We start from the raw sequence: 23,801 nt of genomic DNA, 5'->3' as shown, positions 1-23,801 counted from the left end.
AATTAATACAGGTAAGATGCTTAGAACAGTGCTGGGCACTCAGACAGCACTGTTGAGTTGGAGTGAGCTAGCATCATAGCCACTGGACTCTTTCCAGGACTTGCTCTCGGGAGTACCACCGTGCAGCATCACCATGGAGTCCCGCTGTACCAGTATAGCACAGCACGATGGAGGCCCACCATGCCACTGTAGCGCAGCGCCATGGGAGCCCACCGTACCACTGTAGTGCAGCGCGATGGGGGCCCACCGTGCCACTGTAGCACAGCCTGATGGGGGCCCACTGTACCACTGTAGCACAGCAAAATGGAGACCCACTGTACCACTGTACCACTGTAGCACAGCGCGATGGAGACCCTCCGTACCACTATAGCACAGAGCGATGGAGGCCCACTGTACCACTATGGCACAGCACAATGGAGGCCCACTGTAGAGTGCCACCATGGTGCAGGGCCGTGGAGGCCCACTGTACAGTATCACCATCACACAGCACCAGGGAGGCCCTCTCTGGAGTCCCTCCCTTCAGGGCCATGTGAGGAAATTCACTGCATCCCTGTCCCGCCAGCCCCTCATGCCCTGCTTCCAACTTAGGTGTGATCTCTGGTCCCCTTCTCTTCCTTTTCTCACAGATGTGGACGAGTGTCAGGACAATAATGGTGGCTGCCAGCAGATCTGCGTCAATGCCATGGGCAGCTACGAGTGTCAGTGCCACAGTGGCTTCTTCCTTAGTGACAACCAGCATACCTGCATCCACCGCTCCAATGGTGAGTACAGCCTATGCTGACCAGGCATGTCCCCCCCCAGGATGGGCAGCCCCCAGAGTCCCCTTCTCCACATCTCAATTCTGGGGCCCTCAAGGTCAAGGCAGGGAATTTTGGTGGTAGTCTGAATGACTGTTTTGCACGTCTGGTATTGGTTCTGCATGGGCCTCCTTCCAGTTCCTTCCCTCTACCTGCTACACTAGGGCTGCGGGTGTTTCTCGTGTTTATATGTGGGGCCGCAAGTAGCACATGTGACCAGAGGAGCTGTTTTCCTTTCTGAGTTGGGGGCTGGCTGTGGCCAGGAAGAGTGGGGCCCCATTCTCCATGGGCTCCTTCTCCAAAGGGGGCTTGAGGCTATCCAGGCTGTGTGCCAACTTCTCTGTCTCCATGAGCCTGGCAGCACCAGCGACTCCCTGCTGCATGTTCATTGGGTTTCCCGCCAGGAGAGGGTCCTTGTGGTCGGGCGCCTGCTGTTTGGAAGCCAGGCAGTGTGGCAGGCCAGCCTGGGGAGGTGCAGAGGGCCCCAGGAAGACACCCCACCAGCTGGAGCACTAGGTGGCAGACCCAGGCTGAAGTGGAGCCTGGCCACCAGCCAAGCCCAGCAGGCAAAGGAACTTGGTGTTACGGCATCAGTGGTCAGATCCTGGAGTTTCGGCTCAGGGCAGCAGAGCTGTGAGGTGGCGGCAGAGCTGTCCAGAAAGCCAGGACACATGTGCTTGGAGGAGAGAGCCAGGACACATGTGCTTGGAGGAGAGAGCCAGGACACATGTGCTTGGAGGAGAGGGCCAGGACACATGTGCTTGGAGGAGAGAGCCAGGACACATGTGCTTGGAGGAGAGGGGCTTCCAGGCAGAGAACAGCTTTTGCGGAGGCACATCTCTTGCTTAAGATAATGCAAGGGCAGGCATCTGAGGCAGGGCTGTGTACCAAAGCAGAGTGTGCTGTGAGGGCAGGGCAGGAGCCAAGGTTCCCAGGGCCTGGCTGTCGTGAGCTGTCAAGGGAATAAATGTAAGGAAGAAGGCCAGAACTGCCCCAGTTCAGGCACGCCCCCATTGCTGACCCTTAACAAGGAGGAGGCGCTGGAGGCTTGCGGGCATAGAGGGCGTTCCTGGGAAGGTCGCCCCTCTCTGGTACACAGCACCTGCAGAAGGCTCAGAGAGGGGCTCACGCTGAGAGATGGGGAACCAAAGGGCACGCACTGGGCTCCAGGCCAGCCGGACCCTGTGTGAATCCAGCTCCTCCTCTCCCACGCTGGAAGCCTTCCCATGGGCGGCTCTACTGACTGCTCCCCAGATTCCTCGCCTGCAAAATGGGGAAGTGGTGTTACCCGGCAGGGCGTTCAGAGATGGAGCAGGACCATGGGATGAGGTTCCAGCCTCCCGTGAGCAGGCAGGAGGCTGTGAGGTGTGAGTCTGCCAGCCCAGGCATGAGTTTCATTAGAAAACAGTTCCTGAGAAAGTGAAAGCAAAAACATTTAAAAAGTACTCAGGATAATAAAGTGGAAATACTCGAACAGGCTCCTTAGAATTCTTAGTGTTTGTTGCCTCAAAGGCAGGACGGGCCTGCTAATCATGGCTCTGTGGTGTCCCCAGAAGAACAGAAAGCCCGAGCTCCGTGGCTCCTGGCACTTGCTGCTGTCACATTGTCCACACTCCACCCAGGTGGCTCCCGGGCATCAGGAGTTTGTTTTGCGCCTTGTAAGACCTCCCAGTTGTGGGCTGTGGGGCCAAGCTGCCCACGGTGGAGGCAAACCCTATAAACCAGGACTCTGAGCCCAACAGGTTGTATAAGAAGCAGATTGATGGGGACAGAGTGAGCAAGTGCGGGGAGGGGCCTCTGCTTTCATCCAGGGAGGGGAGTTCACAGAGTGACTGCTCTGAGCAGGCTGTAAAGTCCCAGGCCAGGGTGGCGTGAGCCTCCTTTTCAGCCAGGCTGTGTGTGCTCTGTTCCTTTGAAGCCCGGCTTTCTCCCCAGCAGGACTCCAGGTGGAGCTGAGGCCCCTGGTTGAAAGAAGGGTGTGCTGTGGGCAGATCACACCCGCAGCCACAGCCTGTTTGTTACAGGTTTGGCCTGTAAGCATCTGCTGTGCTGAGGAGGTTACAAACCTTAGCGTCCCCTACAGGACTGGGGTTGGGGAGGGGATGACGTGGGAGCAGCGACAGCAGGGGCTGCTGGGGCCACACGCTTACTCTGAGCCAGGCACGGGCCTGAGCACTGCCCAAAGACAAGCTCACTCCACCTTTGCCACTGCCCGGCGAGGCTGGGTTGTGACGCTGAGGAAGGCGAAGCCCAGCGAAGTTAGGGAAGAGGCAGAGCCAGGATCTGAGCCAGGCACGCTAGCTATGGGGCCCGCTCCTTGGGAGGTGATGCGGTGTGAGAGGAAAGAAACGGGTGGTGCAGCAGACGGTGCTGGAGCTGATGAGAAAGCCAGGTGGGAAGCTTGTGGGGAATGTGCCAGGCTGGGCGCGTGCAAAGGCCCTGGGGTGGGAATGGGCACGTGAAAAGCTGAACAAAGGGTGGGACGAAGGAGCAGAGAGCACGAAGCGGGAGGAGCCCGAGGCGGGGAGGTGGGGGCTGGACAACATGGGGCCTGGTGGGCTGTGGCAAGAGTTTGGATTTTGGGTGGAGGGCAGCTGTGGGAAAGCTGGTTGAGCAGAGGTAGGAAGTGATGCTTAGGGGAGAGGGGAGGCCATCTGGGAGAACGCCAGCACTTCCAGGGGCTGGCATCTCATAAATTGTGCAGTGGCTGGTGTTGGGTGGGACCCTGGGCACACATGGCTCACTCCACCCAGATGCCCCAGGTGGTCAGATCCTGATTTTTCAGGAAGCCAGGAGTCCAGCTTTAACCAGAATATGGATTTGGGGGCCTCAGTCCCAATCTGCATTAACCAGCGTGTCGGTTAAAGAAGTGCCTTCTCTCCTTACGATTTTTGTGTGGCCTCTCCTGATTTTTTGATCTGGGCAATGAAATCAGTCCAAAAAACAACAGATAACTTATCAGATTGCTCTCGAACGACAAGGTGCAGCATTCCAGTGGGTTTCCACGGCTGTGTGGAAGTCCTGAAGAGGGCAGAGCAAGCACACAGCACAGTGGTCAGCGGCCCATTAATGCCCATTGGGGAGACAGGGACCTGGGGACTGGGCAGGTTGTCTACCTCTCTGAGCCTCAGTCTGTTGTGACAATTGCCCACCATTAGTGTCAACTGCAATCATGATTGTTATAGCTCAAAATTAGAGCATGTCAGAGGAGCTAAGACTCAGCTTGTTTTGCAGACAAGTGACCTCTGATTCCCATAGCTCCTGGGAGGGCTGAAGGAGACAGAGCCATTTGGCAAATTAGATTCCCCCTATCACCTGACTCTTCCTCATGCCTGTCCAGCTCTTTGGAGCCTACCCCTGAACAGGGAGAAAAGCACACAGGCTGGTTTTGATTAGATGGAACCAGATGCATGAGAGGGGTTGGCCCAGGTCGGTCCAGACTCCTGGCTGAGAAACACAGGGCTCAGCCCGTCTGAGTGGCCCTGCTTTCTAGGCGCCAGAGCACACCCTGGGCCAAGGCATGGCTGCGACCCTGGCTAGGCTTGGGAGGATTAGGTTCTCAGCTCCAGCTCTCCATGTGGCCTCTGCACAGTTACTCTTGCCTCCTTGGGCCTTTTCAGCTGTAAAAAGGGCCTAGCTGTCGAATTTTCCCCATTCGCGGAAAACTGCTCTGGTCAATCAAGGGCAGCACCTGTCCTAGGAGTAGCGACTGATGCAGGCAGCTTCTTCAGGTCTTTAGAACACAGGCTTGATTTGGGGGACACACACAGGCTCCTCCTCTGTGCCCACACTGGGCAGGAGGGAGTCCGAGATGTTGGAATCTGGCCAGTTTCCCTCCACTCAGCACTTCCGAGCACTGCTTCTGGCCCCATGATAGCACCCCCTACCTCCCACTCAGCCCTAGCCCAATAAGTACTGACAATCCCTCCTCTGGCCACAGCCCCAGGGGCCCACCCGCTGCCCCCATCACACACCCTTGTGCCTGGTGTATCTAGAAGGCAGCACCTTCAGGCTCTCTCCCTCTCCCACACTGCTCTTCTTGTCTGTAACTTCTGACGGATTGATGCCACAGGAAGATGTGGCCTCCTGGAGGAACTGTCTCCTTTTCTCTCAATGTAGAATTCTGACCAGAATCGATCCGGGAGTAGAAAGGGTTCTGGAAGGCCTCAGTCTTACTAGCTACGTGAATGCAGGTCACTTGTATTTACCTGCTCATTCATTCATTCATTCATTTATTCGTGTGCCAGGTGCTCTGCCAGCCCCTAGGATCCGAGGCATGGTCCACTGGGAAGCTTTCAGCCTGGACAGGGGATCACATGCTAAGTAGGGGTCCTAAGAGTTCCTGTACAGTCATGAGCTGAGGGGAAACGCTCTGGGGATTCTATGGCTTTGGTCTTCTCATCTGAGCAGCAGAGACGTTCGTGACATGGTCTCCTCCTCCACCTGGTGAACTGTTGCTATTCCGAGGGTCCAGCACTGACACTGGGCCTCACTGGCTGCCAGCAGCTTTGGGTTTGAGATGCCACTGGCCCTCCATGCAGGAGGCTGTCCTGCAGGGCTCTGCTCTGAAGCCTCATCAGACGCCGCCTGTGGGCTGGCCTCAGCCTTGGTGGAAGGCACCAAAGTGAGAGGAAACGTCGCATTGTCTCCATCATTGTAGGAGACAGCACAGGCTCACAGCGGGGCTTCAGGCCCAGTGGCCTAGGCTGGAACCCCAGCTCTACCATGGACCATCTCGTGACCTTGAGCAAGTCACTTAACTTCTCTGTGTCTCATCTGTAAAATGGAGATAGTCATAATACCTGCTTCGTAGGGTTAAAAAGGTATTGAAAAGACAGTTTCAATAAACACGGGCTCTTATTCATGTGATTTGTGACAGATGAGGAAATGAGGCCCTGAGAGGGCAGGGCCTGGCCCAGGGCCCCACAACAAGCCGGCCGCAGAGTCAGGACCTGGAAGCTCTTGGAACGAGGCTCTGCTGACACGTGCCAGGTGCTGCACAGGAGCCTGTTCATTCAGCAGAGGGAGAGGGGAGGGAGAGGATCAAGAGGCCAGCTTTGTCCTCGACAAACTAGCGAGCTGGTGGTCCTTGCACCCAGGTTCATCTGTGCACAAGGTAGTACATGCCAAAACCTGAGGCCCAACAAGATGGCCATCGTCCCTCATTCATCGGCTGAGCTCCCGCACCTATTTGGCCTCGGGGCAGCCCTCCAGGGTGCCCAACCACCCATCCTTCCTGCGGAGGTTTGAGTACACCTGCAGAGGTGTCCCTGCTGGGCACAGGTAATCAGGAGTCACAACACAGAGGGAGCACCAGGGCCCTGCTCCTCACCCCGCCCTGTCTACTGACAGCTCCCGCACTTAGTCCCCTGTGAGAGTATCCCACCCACTGGACAGCCCATTCTGAGCTGAGCCCTCAGGGAAAACTGTTGGGCTCTGCCTCTTCTGTGCCCCAGTGGCCACCTCTGTCCCCCGCCCCCTATTGTTGCTGGCGGCAAGCTCCAGAAAGTGGTTTTCTGCCTCATGGTGCTCGTGTCCCTGCAGCTTGGGAGCTCCCTGTGGGCAGGGACTATGTTCCCCACATCTCTGAGTCCCACTGCCAACTTGGGCCTTTGGAAAGGACAGAGAGGGGAAGGAAGAGAGGAAGGTGGGCGTGGGCAGAGCCAGGATGGGTCTGGGAACAAGGCAGGGTGGTGAGCAGTTCAGCGTGGACACTGAGGAGCGTCGGGACAGCACTCAGTTCACAGCGCCCTCAGGTCGTGCTGTTAGATATTGGTCAGTGTGGGCTGGTGGACCATGTGGTTGGGCCAGGCAGGGGGCCAGACAATAGGGGTCCTCTATTGATGAGAGCCCCCATTTGGGAGAAATGAGGCCACGTGCACAGAAAGCCTGCTGTGCAGCTGCTCTGCTGGGGTTTTATGCACTGGAACAGGCCGTGGGGCAGCCTGAGGTTCTCCCCGCAAGGACTGCATGAGTTTACCCAAGTGCGTTTCACCTTCTGGTTAACGTTCGGAGTTTGTTTAAACACGTGCATAAATACGTGTAGGAAACCGCATTGCCCTCCCTCCACAGGCATTCCTCGTGGGTCTCGAGCCCACTGTTCACAAAGCTCAAGACTTGGCATCAAGAGTGATGTTGTCCTACAGCCAGGGTCAGAGGTGGGGGCCAGCAGTAGGAAAGCTTGGCATCAGGAATCAGTCCCTTTGTGTGTAATGTGATGATGATGATGACGACGACGACGACGACGATGACGATGATGATTGCAAGAGCTGCATCCAATGCATGCTTGCGTGTGCCAGGCCCTGCTACCAGGCACTTTCCATGCATTTCCATTCATTGCGTCCTTACAGTGCCCCATTTTCCAGATCAAGAAACTTGAGGCACTGAGAGGTTAGGGAACTGCAGGGTTGCCAGTGGCTTTGGGGGATTGGAGGTCTGCCAATCTGGCCCCAGAGCCTGGGCTCCTGACTGCCTGATAGTGAAGACAGCAGCAATGGGGAAGGTTCTGGGACCCCTCTCAGTTGTCGGCCCAAGTATGGTGAGACTCAGGCGGGGCCTGAGGTTCAACGGAGATGCCTTTATAGCTGGCACCACCTGCAGCTCCAGGTACCGAGTATGCCTCTTTAAGCACCTAGAGTTCAAAAGACATCTTGTGGTAGAAATTTTCTGCAGTGTGGCACGCACTTCCCTTCTCCCTTCACGGGAACAGCCTGAGTCGGCTTGGCCTCTTTCTTCCTACAGTTTAGGATTCTTGTTATGAACTCAGTTACGGAGACAGAAAATGGTTGCTAATGTTTATCCCCACACTGAATGTCCCCAGACCTCTGGCCTAAAAGCAAACGCTTTTCTTTCGACACTGCTCTTATTAACTGTTACATACCACTGTGTTGTCACGGGTCTTGCTCTGAAGACCACGGCCGTGTGTCTCCATACACAGACCAGGTAAGAGCCTGCGGGCTCGGGCTTGCTGATAGACTGCCTGAACTTTAGAGCAGCTGCCGGCCTCATGGGAGCCATTGCCACTCATTTCTGAGTATTTGCTGGATGACCTCTGGTTAAATTTAACTTAGTTATTTTGCTTATAAAACCCATGCTTGAAGTATTTTGGGGATCCATTCATTTCATCTGTAAGTTTGCAAGGGCAAATACCTGATGATAACTAGAGTCAAAACAATAGGATTTTTTAGAATTTTTTATTTTGAAATAATTGTAGATCCATAAGAAGCTGCAAAAAATAGTGAAGAGTGGTCTCAGATGCCCTTTACCCAATTTCCCCCAATGGTGACATCTTACGTCACTAGAGTTTAACATCCAGACCGGTAGCTGGACGTTGGTACAGTGTGTGAGTGTGGCTCCACGCCATTTATGACATACGGATCCACATCACAACCACCGCAGTCAATAGTTCGCATTTAGTTATAATTGAACAATATCCAAATCAGTACACTTGTGAGAATGAAAGGAGATACTATTATTAATTATGCCAGGGCTGTGGATATCAACTGGGACTGTCCCAGGCAAAGCAAGACATTGGGTCACCCTAATACTGCTTCATTTGACCCCTCGAACCCTCAGATGGATACTAATATTATCCATTGCAATTCCTTGAACCCTGTGAGCTGAGTACTAGCCGCTCCCATGTTGCAGATGTGGGTCAGAAGCTCACAGAGGCAAACAGTGTGTCCAATAGTGGCAGGACTGGAACCCAGTGGTCTGGGTTCAAATCATGACCCTCTCCCACGGCTGTCTGTCAGTGTTTAAAGGAATCACAACCACCCCCATGGATTCCCCCTTCTTTTTTCAAGTGTGGAAATTGGGTTCTAAGGAGAAGAGGAACCTTCCTGCCCAATATGCTGGTCAACCTGTGGTCCCCAAATCTACATGTGCCTGGGCAGGGCGTGCTGGATGAGGAGCAGGGCCAGGGGCTTGGCTAGCGGGCTGTTCAAGGCAGAGGAAGCTGAGCTCAGGGCTGGAGCCAGTGGGATATGGAAAGGGGTTGGAGAAGCCCACAAGAGGCTGGGTGTCGTGGCTCACGCCTATAATCCCAGAACTTTGGGAGACCGAGGTGGGCAGATCACTTGAGGTCAGGAGTTTGAGACCAGCCTGGCCAACATGGAGAAACCCCATCTCTACAAAAAATACAAAAATTAGCCAGGCATGGTGGCGCACTCCTGTAATCCCAGCTACTTGGGAAGCTGAGGCAGGAGAATTACTTGAACCCGGGAGGCGGAGGTTGCAGTGAGCTGAGATCGCGCCATTGCACCCAAGCCTGGGTGACAGAGTAAAACTCCATCTCAAAAAAAAAAGAAAAAAAAAAAGAAGCCTGCAAGAGCAGGTGGCTTCTGAGGTGGTGGCCAACTGATGGAGAGAAGGTGGGTGGTCAGCAGACAGAGGGGCCAGAGTGACATAGGCAGGATGCTGTTGGGAGGATTAAGGGGGGAGATTGGGTAGCAGCAGGAGTTTGTGGTAGAAAGAGAGGGCAAGGGGCTGGCAGCGTCATCTGGGCCCAGACCTTGGTGGACAGCAACGGATTGGAGGCAGCTGGCCTTAAAAAAGCACTTCAAGTAGGACTCTGGAGACAGGGAGCCAGAAACCCTGGGGAGAGGCACAGGCCAGTCCCGTCACTTTCCTGGAATGATGTCTGGAGCAGAGAGAGTCCTCAGATGCCATCCACCGTCCTGCGCCATCTGACTGCAAGCAATTCCGTGGCTGTCCCAGGTCCACAGCGCCTGGAGGGATGGGTGCCCGTGTCCATCCTGGTGTCTGTTTGTTTCTCTACACCATGGGCCTCACTGGAGGGTGCTTGAGCCTCTGCCCTGTGCCTGACACTTTTCCTGTGTGGTTGCTTTTGATTCACTTGCAACCTAGCAGAGACCCTGGGGCCACTGCCTCTCCCGTCCCCGGTGCCCTTCTCAACTCCCTTCACCCTGTTGACCGTCCAGCTGCTCCCGATGCCTGGGTGCCTCCTTCAGGCCAGCCTGTCCTTGCACCGTGGCCAGGGTTCCTCTGACACCGAAGATTCCAGCTTGTTCCGGTTGGCCAGAGGAGTCCTCGTCCCAGCAGCTGTGGTTACCTATGGGAGACAATGGGCCCAGGAGCCTGAAGCCAGGCCCAAAGCTGGCGGAACTCAGAGGGACAGGACCCTGTCTAGCAGGAATTTGGACTGTGCCGTGACAGTGAAGGGTGCCCTGTCAGCCATGAGGAGAAGGAGAATGAGCCCATTTTAGGAAGATCACACTTGCCTCAGTTGTACAGGTGAAGCAGGGAGTGGGGCCAGAGAGAGCACTGGAAGCCATCAGGGTCTGGAACCCATATGGGGACAGCAAGGGGAGAGGGCAGGATGGCTGAGGGGGAGACGACGGGAGGATGGCCAGGGGAGGTGACAGGGTTGCTGAGGAGGAGGTGACAGGAGGGTGGCTGAGAAGGGAGGTGACAGGAGGGTGGCTGAGGGGGAGGTGACAGGAGGGTGACTGAGGGAGGTGACAGGAGGGTGGCTGAGGAGGAGGTGACAGGAGGGTGGCCAAAGAGGGAGGTGACAGGAGGGTGGCTGAGGGAGATGACAGGAGGGTGGCCAAGGGAGGTGACAGGAGGATGGCTGAGGGAGGTGACAGGATAGCTGAGGAGGAGATGACAGAAGGGTGGCCAAGGGAGGTGACAGGGTGACTGAGGAGGAGGTGACAGGAGGGTGGCCAAAGAGGGAGGTGACAGGAGGATGGCTGAGGGAGGTGACAGGGTAGCTGAGGAGGAGATGACAGAAGGGTGGCCAAGGGAGGTGACAGGGTGACTGAGGAGGAGGTGACAGGAGGGTGGCCAAGGGAGGTGACAGGAGGATGGCTGAGGGAGGTGACAGGATAGCTGAGGAGGAGATGACAGAAGGGTGGCCAAGGGAGGTGACAGGGTGACTGAGGAGGAGGTGACAGGAGGGTGGCCAAGGGAGGTGACAGGAGGATGGCTGAGGGAGGTGACAGGATAGCTGAGGAGGAGATGACAGAAGGGTGGCCAAGGGAGGTGACAGGGTGACTGAGGAGGAGGTGACAGGAGGGTGGCCAAAGAGGGAGGTGACAGGAGGATGGCTGAGGGAGGTGACAGGGTAGCTGAGGAGGAGATGACAGAAGGGTGGCCAAGGGAGGTGACAGGGTGACTGAGGAGGAGGTGACAGGAGGGTGGCCAAAGAGGGAGGTGACAGGAGGATGGCTGAGGGAGGTGACAGGGTAGCTGAGGAGGAGATGACAGGAGGGTGGCCAATGAGGGAGGTGACAGGAGGGTGGCCGAGGAGGAAGGTGACAGGAGGGTGGCCGAGGAGGAAGGTGGTGGGGATGTGTGAAAGAAAGGTGACAGAAGGAGGGCTGATAGGGGAAGTTGGTAGGAGCATGGCTGAGAGAGGAGGTGACAGCGTAGCAGGGGAAAGGTAGCAGGAGGATGTCTGCAGGGGGAAGGGACAGCAGGATGGGTGAGGGGAAGGGACAGGAGGATGGGTGAGGGGAAGGGACAGCAGGATGGGTGAGGGGAAGGGACGGGGATGGGTGAGGGGAAGGGACGGGAGGATGGGTGAGGGGAAGGGACAGGGGGATGGGTGAGGGGAAGGGACAGGAGGATGGGTGAGGGGAAGGGACGGGGGATGGGTGAGGGGACGGTGAGAGACTTGGTGAGCTGACTCTCGGCAGAGCCCTCTGTCTGCCCCGGGTTTACACTTCAGCGAGGCCTGTTACCCGCGTCACATAGGTGGGGAATATTTAAGTTTCGGTGGCTCTGGACAAGGTGGGGCCTTGTTCTCTTCGTAGCGCAGAACGCTGGAGGTCTGGGAGACCTGGGGCTCAAGGCAGGGCCCACTGGTCTCTACTTTGGAAGAGGCAGACAGCGCCGAACCCTGCCCAGCGCCTTGCTCAGCATCAGATTCATGCGGTCCGGGAAAGCCTTGTGCAGAGGGCCGCTGCCCACCTTCCTCCTCCTGACTGGCTGGCTCAGGCCTGGCCCAGCCTGGGCTGTAATCAATTGCAGGGACTTGATTGGCTTGAGTGAGGAAAAGCTCAGTATTCAAGGCTTCATTGAGGCTTAGGAGCTTGGGACACTTGTGGAGTTTCAGATCTCCCTAGGGGACTGGGGACATCAGGATTCTTCTGCCGTCTGTACTGCACTTTAGTGACCACATGTCCAAGCCTCTGCATTCCACCCCCTTGGGTAGTACTTGGAAACCCCATTTTTGTGCCAGGGCAGGTCCTTTCGGAACTCACAGGCTGTAGGAGGGTCCAACCTGAGGCAGGTCCCGACCAGACAGTGCGTGGAGGGCTGTGACAGAAGCTGGACAGGGGCTGTGGGAGCCCAGGAGAGCATGCCCTTGCCCACGCCATCAGTCAGCAAAAAAGATTGCCTCCTACTTCATTCCTGCTTCTATAACAGAAGAGCTGAGACTGGGTAATTTCTAAAGATAGAAATTTACTTTTCACAGTTCTGGAGGCTTGGAAGTCCAAGATCAAGACTCTGGCAGATTCACTGTCTGGTGAGGGCTGCCGCAATAGGGGTTCAGTTTCAACATCATTTTGGAGGGGACACAATCATGCAGACCGTAGCACATGCTTACTCTGTGGTGGGCTTAAAAATAAAGGTTTCTTTCCTGCTGGCACTCAGCCTCCTAAGTGGTTGGAGGTGAGGCCCTGCACAGCATATGCACCGAGGCGGCCACTGTCAGAAGCACTGCCAGAGAGCAAGCCCACCCTGCCTCTGGGGCCTGAGCCCCCTGTTCCAAGTCCACAGCTGTCTCAGGACTGGCTGGGGGCTCCTTGACAAAGGTTACCTGAGAGTTTTAGGGTACAGGTTTCCTGGGGTTGAGCCAGAGCAGAGACCTAGTGTTTCTCCCCAGCAGCGTCTGGGGCAGCCTGTATCTGAAACCCTTGCCCTTAGCCTCTTTCCCACCCCAGACTCTAGTCCTGGGCCCTCCCAAGAGCCTCTTCCAGGCTGGTCCTCGAGCTTCCTCTTGACTCTGTCTTCCACTCTGCCTCTCCCACTCTGGCTTGTCTGTGGCCTGCAGGCTGACTGGACACTGTCCTTCCCCCAAACCTGTCTCAGCCCACAGGTGTCCTCAGGAGGCCCAGCCCCACCCTCCCGCAGCTCAGGTGTCCTCGACAGGCCCAGCTCCACCCTCCTGGAGCTTTGCTGTGGTTTCCATACAGGGTCGCCTGATGCTCACAGCCACCCTGTGACATGCTTTGGATAAGTACTAATGTCCCCATCATGGGAGGGAAAACTGAGCTTCCCTGAGCTGCACTGGGGGGGCAGGACTTCAGGATCAGGGGCTGGATTCTGAGGCCAATGTCAGTTCTTTTTGCCCTGCACCATCCACTTGCAGACTCAAAGAAACAAGCCAATGGACAGAGACCCATGGGCCCTCCTGAGCCACCTCAGCCACATATTGATAGGATCCTATCAGTGTGCCTAGCTGTCAGGTTCCTATTGGCTCCTGGGACGGGATTCCTATAGGATCTGGGCCAGGCCTTGACCTGAGGGGCCCTAGCACGGCTCCTGCAGGGCCAGAGACATCCCCTGCCCTGTTCCAGGGCTTTCCATTATCAACTGTGAGTGCTGGGGCAGCACGGCTAGGAACTTCCTGTTTAAAGAGAGGGTGTGGCCATGCCTCCGAATCCCATCCCAGCCTCAGCACCTGCCTTCTTCAGCCACTCCTTGGAGAAGATCAGCCAGGCAAGGGCGCCAGGCAGGACATGTGGGGTTGCAGGTTCTCCTCGCTCCCTTGCCTGCTGCAGACCAGGTGGACAGGAGAATAAACAGCTCCCTTGCTTACTGGAGAGATTTATGGTGCTACCGGAGGAGGCCTGTCCTGGCCCTGTGCGGTCCGGAATGGCCCTCAAGGTGGGGACAATAAATCCAGCCCATTATTTTTTATGAGCCTCCCACTCCATAAACAACTCTTTCGGCTGGTAAGCCCAGCTTCACGCCCCTCTCCTGGCCTGGCCTTGAGCCGGCGCCAGGGGCACCCCCAGTACTGACTTCACATCAGTGGTATAAATTTCCCCTAAGCTGCAGAACTTTCAAATCTCCCAGAGTTGTGGGTGCAGGGCAGGGAGAGCTGCAACCCAGAGGGCTAGGCCAACAGGTAGCTTGCCCAGCCCTGGCGTCCTTCTCTGCCACAAGTCCTGGGGCAAACATTCATATATTTTATGACAGAATTGTTTACGAGAATTAAAATGAGATCGTATATACAAGACATCGCCTCATGTAGAGCCCGGTCCAGATCACTAGAACTGTGCAAAGCTGTCATACGCATCATAGCTGAGCATAGTGCATAGACTCTGACACGAGTCATCAGATCCTGAGAACAGTCTGTGTCATGTAGCTACCCCATTTTGCAGGTGAGCAAATGGAGGCTGAAAAGCAAAGAGACTTGTCCGTAGTGAAGAAGTAGCAAAGCCAAGATTTGCACCCAGGCCCAACCGCCTCCTAAGATCAAAGACACTTGATGAACCAATGGATGGGGGGCCAGGGGCAGGGGTGCTGTGCAGCCCAGATGCCCTGTGACACAAGGAGCCCCTGTCTCGCCATGCTGCCCTCTGCCTAGGGCTGCGCTGCCGTCTTTTGCCTGAGTTAGTGCGGCAGCTGCCTCACAGGCCTCCCTGCCCCGCAAGCCTTCTGGTAGCAGCCAGAACCACTGCTCTGCCCAACCCTCTGGCTCTGTCATTCCCCACTCAAGACCTTCCCATGGCTCCTGAGAGGAATGTGGTTCTCTGCAGCCTGTCCTTGCTTGGCATGTCATGAACCAGCCATAGTGAACTTCTCATCCCGGCCTCTGCCCACACAGCTCCCTCTGTCTGGAACTCCCGCTCATCCTGACTGACCATCGCTCACTGAGAACCCTCTACACCTTTTCCCCGCACACCTCCTGATCCCCCAGGTGGAACCTACGCATCCCTGCCTCTGTCTCATTCGGCCTCCACCCTCAGCCTCCCTGCCCTGTCTCTCATGTCTCTGCTCCCGGGCCTTTCTCCCCCAAGTGAGGATATGCCCTTGGACACAAGGACCCGCTGGCCCCCCAGTGTCCAGCCTGGGGTCTGTAGGGAGCAGGCAGTCAGGAAAAGCTGAGGCGAGGTCATGGAGTTGACGTGCGTGAGAACCGAAAGCATGCTGCCCTGGAGGGAAGCTGGCCTGCACGCCTGTTCTAGAGTGAAGTAGCAGAGGCCCTGGAAACACCATGTGTCCTGTCAGAGGTCACTTAGCATGTTGGGGGCAGAGCTGGAACTTGTCCCAGGCCCCTAGGCTCCAGACCAGTGCCCACCCCCTACACCGTAGCCCACAGCCTGGCTTCCCACCTGGGGTTTGTGGGCACAGGCCCTACGCATGGAAAGTCATGCAGATCTGGAGTGTGGGTTCGGAAACCACCGGGCAGATGCCTGGTTGGCAGAGTGGGGAAGCAGCCGAGGTCATCCTGGGTCATTAGGGAGTGGTGTGAGCCCTCCCTAGCCTCATTAGGGAAATTGGGTTGTGACTGTGGCCACAAGGCCAATCTCCTGGTGGGACGTCTGCCTGGCCACCCCTGGCCGCAGCATTCCCCAGGTCCTCGTCACCCGCCTGAGGCCAGCCAGGTGGGTTTTTGTCTCCCGGCCTGGTGGCTGCTTGATTATGTCACCAGACTCTTTCAGCATGTACGTCCCATGGGACTTCTTCCCTTCCTCCTCAGCCCCCGATCCTGGCTCCTCCTCTGCCTCAGCCCTCTCCTAGCTCTCCCCTAAGCTTCTTGAGTCTCCTTGCTGACCAGCAGTGGCCACTTCTCCAGCTCTGACCCCAGTACCAACTGTCCCCTAGACGGGGACCCCAGCTACAGAATTCCCACCTGCCCAAAACCAAACGCAGCATCTTCCCATCCTCCCAGACCTGTGCTTCCTAGCGCGTCCCCCATCAGTGGGGCACCAGCGCTGGGGTGCTGCCTTCACCCTTCCCCTGTGTGGCTCCCACATCCTAGTGTGACCGGATCCCACGTCCGAGCTCTACTCACCTCCCAAACCCAGCCAGCTTCCTCACCCCTGTTGCCCTGCCTTCTTCAAAGGTTGTGGTTGCTAATTGGTGTCCCTACCTCCGCCTCATCCCCCTTCCCTCCTGCATCCTGCAGCCGGGGCGCTTTCTCCGCCCCCCTCCGAGTTCCTCCATTGTCAGGCACTGCTGCCTTCCTGCCTCCCAAGGCCTCCCACAGTCCAGTTCCTCTCTCCTGGTTCCTCCCCATCTGCCTGTTGTTCTCCCTGTTACGGCACACGTGCCCTTTACTGATTACAACCTCGGTATGTGTCATCCTCTGCCTTTACTGCCATTTCCCATTCCCCTCCCTTCCTGGAGAACTCTTAGTCATCCATCAAAACCCAGCGCACTTTCACCTCCTCTCTGAAGCTGTCTCTGACTCTTAGGCAGGCGTGCACGTCTTCCTCTTTACTTGCACTCATGTGTTTGAAATGGTTCAGCCCTCTACTGCAGGACCAGTCCATGAGCTCCCAAGAAGGGCAGGGATGTGTTTAAGTCATCCTTGTGTTTCTCACGTCTCACACAGGGCAGGGTGCAGAGGAAAACATGCCGCATGGGAGTGTAGAGGAGATGAGACCATCTCATGAGGGACTCATGCCCGAAGTGTGTGCATCATCCGTTCACAAAGTGCCTTCACACCCCTCGTGCAGAGCAGTGTGCCCAGCCCACCGCCAGGAGAGGGACGCCCAGCGCGTCGTGGTTTGCTGGGTCCTGCACTGCTGTCCCACCTTGCTCCCTTCCACAGCTGGTCAGCTTGCAGGTCTGCCGGCTTCTCTCCACGAGGCCTCTCCAGCCCCAGTTTGTCTGTCAGAAGCGCAGAGACCCCCAGCCTCACTCCCCAGGCCTCTGCATGGGCTTGTTCCTGCTCCAGAACACCTTTCCCTCCCGCTGCCCAGCCTCGCCTCCACATCACAGAGCGCCTGACTCCTGTGCCCCCAGGGCACATCACAGATCGCCCACACGTTTGTCTGTTGAGTGCAGCGACAAGTCACCAGACTAAGTTTGAGTCGGTGGCGGGAATTGGCTTATGTCCCCAAAGTGGCTGTACCTGCCGATGATCCAAACGTACCTACTGTGCCCCGAGCCCATGAGCCCCTTTTGTCCTCGAAGGGCCATGAGAAGTACCCGCTGCCGCCCCTCATGCACAGCTGAGGGAGAGGAAGTGAGCGCCACTGCTTGTGACGCAGCCGGGACTCCAGCCCCAGGCTGTGGCTCTGCAGCCCCTGCTCCTTTCTGCGGCATGTGGGTGGACAGTGGTGGAGAGTCACTGGCTGGGGCTCGGGGACGCTGCTCACAGCCTTACAGATCCTCCTGTTCGTGTGTCCACAGTGCTCTTACCACTGTCTCCTTCCGGGTTCCCAGGGCTGCTGTGGGAACACTTTTGGGATGCTACCACCTTGGCCCCCATGCCTGGGCGCCCTCCATCTCGTCACCTGCTGGAAAGGAAAAACAGACCTTTTCCCTGTTCGTGGCAGGCCATGGCCTGGGCACCTGCCTGAGCTCTCTGGCAGTAGGAGCTAAGGGTGGCACTAGACAGCCTGTCCGTCCGCCATGGCTTCCTTTAGGGTCCCTGTGGAGGGCAGGGCAGGGTTGCCAGATAAAATACAGAGTGCCCATTTAAACTGGGATTTCAGATAAACAAGTAATTTTTTTTATTATAAGTATGACCCATGCAACTTTTGAACATACTTATACTCAGGAAGTATTGATTGTCCACCTGAAATTCAGATTGAATGAGGCGTCCTGTATTTTTATTTGCTAAACCTGGCAACCTGAGGGAGGAAAGAAGGACACCTCCAGCCTCCCGGGCCTTGAGGGAGTAAAGCTCAGGAGGTGAGTGAGTCTCTTGACTCTTGACTTCTCTGGTGCAAGACCTCAGGTCCGTGGGGGCAGAAAAACTTGATTGCGGTGACACCTAGTGACCAGCCTGGGAAATTTCAGGAATCAAGGGAGAGGAACGGGGAAGAAACGAGGCAGGGCAGGGGCTCCAGGTGAGGAGCCAGCAGGCAGGGGAGAGGGAGCGGGCCAGCCTTACAGAGCACCCCCTGCAGCTTGAGGGATCTGAGCTGGAGCCCATCACCTCTGTTACTGCCCTTGAACACTCTTACAAAAGAAAGTTTTAAGCTGCGCGTGGTGGCTCACACCTGTAATCCCAGCACTTTGGGAGGCCGAGGTGGGAGGATCGCTTGAGCCCAGGAGTTCGAAACCAGCCTGGACAACATGGTGAAACCTCATCTCTACAAAAAATACAAAAATTAGTCAGGTGTGGTAGCGCACACCTGTAGTCACAGCTACTCCAGAGGCTGAGGCAGGAGGATTGCTTGAGCCCTGGAGTTCAAGGCTGCAGTGAGCTGTGATTTGATTACACCACTGCACTCCAGCCTGGGCGGCAGAGTGAGACTCTGTCTCAAAAAAAAAAAAAAAAAAAAAAAAGAGGGTTTTAGTCTCCCCACTTTATAAATTAGGCAACAACAAGTTCTAAAACCACATGCCTTAGAAAGGGCTGGGATGGGGACGCAAATCAGCGCTGTCGAATCAACCTGCCCCACCTCGGTGTTGCCCAACCCATAGAGCTTTCTGTGGCTCTGCAAATGTTTCTTGGTCCTCCCAACTGTCAGAGACAGAACCACCTCCCATTTCACAGAGGCAGCTTTCTAGGGGTTCCCGGTGCCAGGACTGGTCAAGGCCCTGGGGTGGGGAGAGGGTGCTGAAGGGAGGCTGGCATCCATCCTGCTTTCGGAGAAGCTTGCCAGGAGCCAATCACAGTCCCAGCTCTGTCTGTCTCCATCTGTGTACACAGTGCGTGCCTGCCAGTGAACCGCATGGCAGTGACTGGGTCTCAAACTGAGAATGAGCGTGTGGGGTTGGACACCCTTCCTCCTCGGTCTCAGCCCAGGGCCTGCACACAGCTGGTGCTTAGCAAAGGTTTGTCAATTGAGGGAGTGAAGGAATGCGTGAGCTGAAAGGTCAAGGGCAGCAGTCCTTGTGTGCCACCTCTTGATGTGAAAGAAAGAGCGCTGAGCTTGACCGAAAGTGGGAGGCTGCATGTGAACTCTGCACTGACAGCTGCGTGACCAGGGCAAGTCACAGCCGCGTGACCCAGGACAGTCACTGTCTCGTGGGCTTCAGCCTCCTCAGTGGAAATGGAGAGGCTTCACCTAGATGCTCTCCAAGGCGCCTTCCAGTTCTAGCTTTCCAGAAAACCAATCCATTCTGGTTTTTGCTTGCGTGTAAACACAAAGCAGGACAATTTCTCTCGGAGCTGTGGCCCATGTCCGTGCCCGGTGAGCTCATCAACCAACCACCTTGCAGGTGTTTATTGGGCACCCATTCGGGCTTCACTGTGGTCCGGCCCCTAGGAGAGCAGATCAGGAGGAGGCGCAGACAAGGAGCGGGCTGGTTGGTAGAAAGGCCTGCGCCTGCCTGGAATCCTGGGGCTGGAAACCAAGGAGGCACTCCCTAAATATTTGTGGAATGAAGGGGCACGTAAGCACACAAGCAGTTGAACGTGGAAGGCGTTGGGAGCCAGATAATACAAGATGTGGACTCTTGTGGCTGGAACAGCTGGGTGGTGAGTGCTGAGCCAAGGCCTGTGCACACCCAGGACGACTAGTCCTCTGGGGCCTGGCAGGAGCCTTTGAACCCTGAAAGAGGGCCCAGAGTCGGTGTCAGAGCAGAAGGGACGGTGCTGCGAGCGTGTGGAGTGGGTGGGAAGGGGACCAGGCAGAGTGGGCCAGCTTCTTTGCTGGGTCACACACCCAGCTGGGACCCAGGACCCCAAGAGGCTCTGGGGGATAAACTCTTTCCCCTACATCCAATATGGCATATTGGTCAAAGCAGAGGGGGCAGTGAGAAGGACGACGAGAGGAGCAGAGTTCCCTTGAGGGACCGTCCAGGCTGCCAAGTGGGTACCAGGGCTGATGAGGTGTGAGGTGAGCACTTAATGGAGGGGCTAGAACCCCTTTGGGCCTGCCAATGGAGTGGCCACCAGGGCATCAGCTCCCTACTCCCTCACACAAGGTAGAAGACCTGGGGCGGCAAGTCTCTTGATCTGTCTAAGCCTCAGCATCCTCACCTGTCCGGTGAGTGCTGGTTGTACCTGGCACTTGGTCATTGAGATGTTCAATTAGGAATGTTTGCAAAGAGCCCACTGTGGGGCCTGACACAGGGGCGCTCTGGGTAAGTAGAAGCCCGCAGTCTTTGGTCACTTGCATTTCCCAGAGGGGACTACCCCCTAGGGATGCTGCCTGGGGGTGGCTGGGCTCGGGGCCAGCTGGGGGTCTAGTCCGGGACCGCCAGCTGTTGGTTCCCGGCAGGCCTAGATTTGCCCCAGAGAATGTAATCTGGGGGATACAGGGTGGAAGGCAGAGCCGTGTGTTTCTACTGAAGCCGAGGCCGCACCGCGAGAGGCTCTCAGTGTGCCACTCCAGGGGCAGATGCTGTCAGCATGGAATTAGGGGATCCAGGGGGAGCCAGAACGGCAGCCAGGTCTGGGCCTGCAGACAAGCATACCACCGTTGTCTGAGAGTTGGCCCCTGTTCCGACACAGTCCAAATCCAGAGTAGCTGATCCCAGGCCGCTCACCAGTGAGCTTGTGTTTATCAGACGGTTTCTGTGCATTCACTGGGTTTCTGTGCATTCACTGAGTGTTAGGCATTGTACAGGGGACGAGGGCAAAGAGGTTACTCAGGTGTGGGCCCTTTTGAGAATGCCCCATCTGGAGGGAGGGAGACAATGTGTAACAGGTACAATTAGTGTGGTGAGTGCTATGAGCAAGGAGGGAGCAGGGGAGCCCCAGGCATGGCCCCAGTCCAACCTAGGCACTTGTGGAGAGGGTGGAAACAAGGAGGGCTTCCTGGAAGAGGTGACACAGAAACAGCATCTCAAGTAACTAGCCAGAAGTTGCCATTCAGAGGAGGGCGAGAGCGTGTCCCAGGCAGAGGAAAGCACCTTCTCAAAGGCTTAGGGTGGGAAGGGAGCGGGGGTTGTGCAGGGCGGCCGGGAGGCTGCCCCTCACCCAGGGCTCGAAGAAGGACAAGTCAGCTGGAGAGGCAGGTGGCAGGGGTCAGGGAGGACCTTCAGTCCCATGCTGAGAACTTTCAGCCTAACCCTTTGGGCACTGGGTGCAGGGGCACTGAAGAGTTTTTTTGCTTGTTTTGCTTGTTTTGTTTACAGTAGGAAGACACAGTCAGATTTATGCACTAGAAAGTTCCCTCTGCAGCTGGAGAAGGGCAGGTCTTCAAGTCAGACAGACCCAGGTTTCAGTTTCGCCTCTACCTGCCTCCCATGTCCTACTCAGTGACCACAGGCAAATCGCTCCACTTCTCTGAAGAGCTTCTGCTACATGGGGATAAAGCTACTTGCCCTGCAGGGCGATGTTGTAAAGGCTTCTCTGTCTCTGCCAGGCCTTGGCTTTGCAGGGTATGTTCCCGGCCCACAGGGGGCTCTCCATGGATCTGAGGAGACTGGCAGGGCAGGATCGGAATCGGCACCCTGGAGAAGCTGTCGTTGGAGACGGCCTTGGCGAGACAGTGTGTTGCAGCTCCAGCTCTGTCCGCTGGGTTCAGCCCCCTCACCTTACCTCAGTCACTAACCTCTGTGCGCTCAGCGTTCTCAGCTGTTAAGTGGACGTAACACAGGTTGAGCATCCTTTATCCAAAATGCTTGGGACCAGAAGTGTTTCCAGTGTTGGATGTTTTCACATTTGGGAACATTTGCAGATACATAATGAAGTAGCTTGTGGATGGACCCAAGTCTAAAGATGGAACGCATTTGTTTTATATACTCCTTGTACACATACCTGAAGGCAATTTTACATGGCATTTCAATAATTTTGTGCATAAAACAAAGTTTGTGTGAAGTACTTATGTGTAGAATTCTCCACTTGTGGCATCATGTCAATGCCCAAAAAGCTTTGGGTTTTGGAGCATTTCAGATTCTGGATTTTCGGATGAGGAATGCTCAGCCTGTGCCGTAGCATACCCCGTCCTGAGCTTGTCAGGGAATCCGTGAGGTAAGGAGTCTCTGGTGTGTGGTAGGCCTGGCGCACAGGCAGCCCTGATGAACGTGGGAGGCTGCACTGTTGTCATCATCATCTCTCCCACCAGCCCCGACCCTACAGCTGTTCTGCGCCTTCCCCCTGGGCACCACCTTCCCCGGGTTTCCTTCACCCCCCTTCAACGTTGGTGGGAGCTCGTGTTTGTTTTTCCCTGCATGGCTTGGACAGCTTGCGGAGTCGGGGTTGGGGAAGGCAGCCGCCTCCTCCCCCTGCCACCCCCAAGGCTCCAGGCTCTTTCTTGGCTCCATAACTTTCTATTGATGAGGCGAAGGGAGGAAAATCCCTTCCTCCCAAGTTGAGGGGGAAGGGCGCAGCAAGGTGTTTGTTCTTTTCTCCCTGCTCTGCCGTTCCCAGCTTGCCATCCCTTCCCATGTATTTAAGGGACATGGATGCAGAAAATGATGTTATTGATGAAGTCGCCATAGCAACGACCCTCAGGAGGCACACATTCCAGCTTTGTTATCCGACCGTGGCGGCAAGAAAGGCCCCACTCCTAAGTACAAACACGCTGGGCCGCACTGCCCTGCTTGAGATGCATCCGTGAACTTTGCATTGCAGAGGATGTGATGTACGCACTGGCTCGGGGCCAGGCAGACCATGCCATCGTTTCTCTCTGCGCACACTCTAGTGGAGTACCCAAGAATGATCGAAGGCCTTGGGGGAAGATAGGCCCCGGTGGGGAAGGGCTGCCAGGGCCTGTCAGAGTCCAGAGGAGATGGCGACCTGGGGGAGGGCCCATCGGGAGGAAGCACCGGCCACTTGGAGAAGAAGACACAGCCCGGGGCACGTCTTCCCCGACGCTGTCCCAACCTCCGTCTGCTTGCCTGGAAGGTGGGCACGGTGATGCCCGCTCATCAGGCTTGTTGTGAGGGTCCAAGTGAATGAAAGTATAGCCGGGGCCCAAGTTCATACATCACTTCTTCCAGAAAACTCAGAAGCAGCTCTTAAATGTGTCCAATCCAGCCCTCCTCCCAATCCCCATAACCACTGCCGTTCTACCAGGCTTTGTCCCTTTCAGAGTGATAGCAACAGCCTCTCCACTGTCCTGGCCTGCAGTCCTGGCCCTCCAGGGCATATTCCACACAGCCTCCAGAGATCTTTCTGACACACAAGCGTGTCGCTCCCCTATTGACAACTCCCCTCTGGCTTCCTTCTGGCCAGTACGAAGTCCCACAACAGCCTATCTGCACCCTTAGCCAGCACCTCACTCACCCAGAGACTGGGGCTGCACATTTAGCACACTCTGGGAAGCAGGCGCTACTACTGTCCAATTCTACGTAGGTGGAAACCGAGGTTCAGGGGTGAAGGGCTTGCCCAGGGTCACGCAGCAAGTGGCAGCCTGAATGTGGACCTGACACTGTGGCAGCAGAGCATCTGTCCTCTCCTTGCTCCCTGGCCCATCTTGGGCACCAAGGAGACACTTGGTCTGAGTTTGTAGCATGTAATTGGATTTGGGTGGTTGGATCAGATTAGATTCGACCTGGCGGGCCGCCTGGCCTGACGGGCATCAGGCCTCTGAAGACCAGGATTTCTGGGAATGACTCTGAAATTCTATCTCACTTCCCATTAAGAAGGGGAGACCAGCAGGGCTCTCTGCTGAACTTGCCTCTCCATGGTTCTCCCCATATCTAGGTCAAGGGAGCTGTCCTATGGCTCCCAAGAGCAGACGTGACACAAATCCGGGAGCCACAGGAGGACGGAGTTTGAACTGGGGCCCTTCCGTCCCTCAGGCTCACAGAAGCCTGCTCTGGGCCTGGGGCTTGGGGTTGGGCCTGAGTAGACTGGGCCCCTGCTCTGGAAGAGCTCACAGGCTGGCATCGGTGGACACAGCCTGCAGCTGCCACTGGCTGCATGGACCTGGCTGGCTCAGGGGAGCTGGAGGAGGCCCGGGGGGTCCTTCCAAGCTCACAGCAGAGGGGGTAGAGTCACAG

At 56.3% G+C, this 23,801-nt stretch overlaps 1 protein-coding gene and 1 long non-coding RNA gene across 2 annotated transcripts in view, besides 4 other annotated features; one reads left to right on the top strand and one right to left on the bottom strand.

Annotated features, from left to right (window-relative positions):
- SCUBE1 (signal peptide, CUB domain and EGF like domain containing 1) overlaps positions 1–23,801 on the top strand; it is a 146,093-nt gene that overhangs the window by 51,566 nt on the left and 70,726 nt on the right. The window contains exon 4 of the mRNA NM_173050.5: positions 627–761. Coding sequence (NP_766638.2) covers positions 627–761 — 135 coding nt within the window. The remainder of the gene's footprint in view (positions 1–626; positions 762–23,801) is intronic.
- On the bottom strand, positions 7,977–15,865 carry SCUBE1-AS1 (SCUBE1 antisense RNA 1). Its single transcript, NR_134582.1, has 2 exons — positions 15,796–15,865; positions 7,977–9,870 (listed from the first exon to the last, which is right to left on the bottom strand). It is a non-coding gene; the product is annotated as an SCUBE1 antisense RNA 1 (long non-coding RNA).
- Positions 9,046–9,546: an enhancer, noted in NCBI's record as "H3K4me1 hESC enhancer chr22:43678267-43678767 (GRCh37/hg19 assembly coordinates)". NCBI's record gives its function as "activates a minimal SCP1, AML or CMV promoter by ChIP-STARR-seq in naive H9 embryonic stem cells {active_cell/tissue: H9 hESC(naive)}" and the evidence as "EXISTENCE:reporter gene assay evidence [ECO:0000049][PMID:30033119]".
- Positions 13,587–14,087: an enhancer, noted in NCBI's record as "H3K4me1 hESC enhancer chr22:43673726-43674226 (GRCh37/hg19 assembly coordinates)". NCBI's record gives its function as "activates a minimal SCP1, AML or CMV promoter by ChIP-STARR-seq in primed H9 embryonic stem cells {active_cell/tissue: H9 hESC(primed)}" and the evidence as "EXISTENCE:reporter gene assay evidence [ECO:0000049][PMID:30033119]".
- Positions 21,496–22,282: an enhancer, noted in NCBI's record as "H3K4me1 hESC enhancer chr22:43665531-43666317 (GRCh37/hg19 assembly coordinates)". NCBI's record gives its function as "activates a minimal SCP1, AML or CMV promoter by ChIP-STARR-seq in naive H9 embryonic stem cells {active_cell/tissue: H9 hESC(naive)}" and the evidence as "EXISTENCE:reporter gene assay evidence [ECO:0000049][PMID:30033119]".
- Positions 22,283–23,071: an enhancer, noted in NCBI's record as "H3K4me1 hESC enhancer chr22:43664742-43665530 (GRCh37/hg19 assembly coordinates)". NCBI's record gives its function as "activates a minimal SCP1, AML or CMV promoter by ChIP-STARR-seq in naive H9 embryonic stem cells {active_cell/tissue: H9 hESC(naive)}" and the evidence as "EXISTENCE:reporter gene assay evidence [ECO:0000049][PMID:30033119]".

Source organism: Homo sapiens, chromosome 22 (genome assembly GCF_000001405.40).
Source record: "Homo sapiens chromosome 22, GRCh38.p14 Primary Assembly".
Classification (NCBI taxonomy): domain Eukaryota; kingdom Metazoa; phylum Chordata; class Mammalia; order Primates; family Hominidae; genus Homo; species Homo sapiens.
Note: the sequence above shows the minus strand (reverse complement) of the source record. Positions and strands in the feature narration are given on the sequence as shown.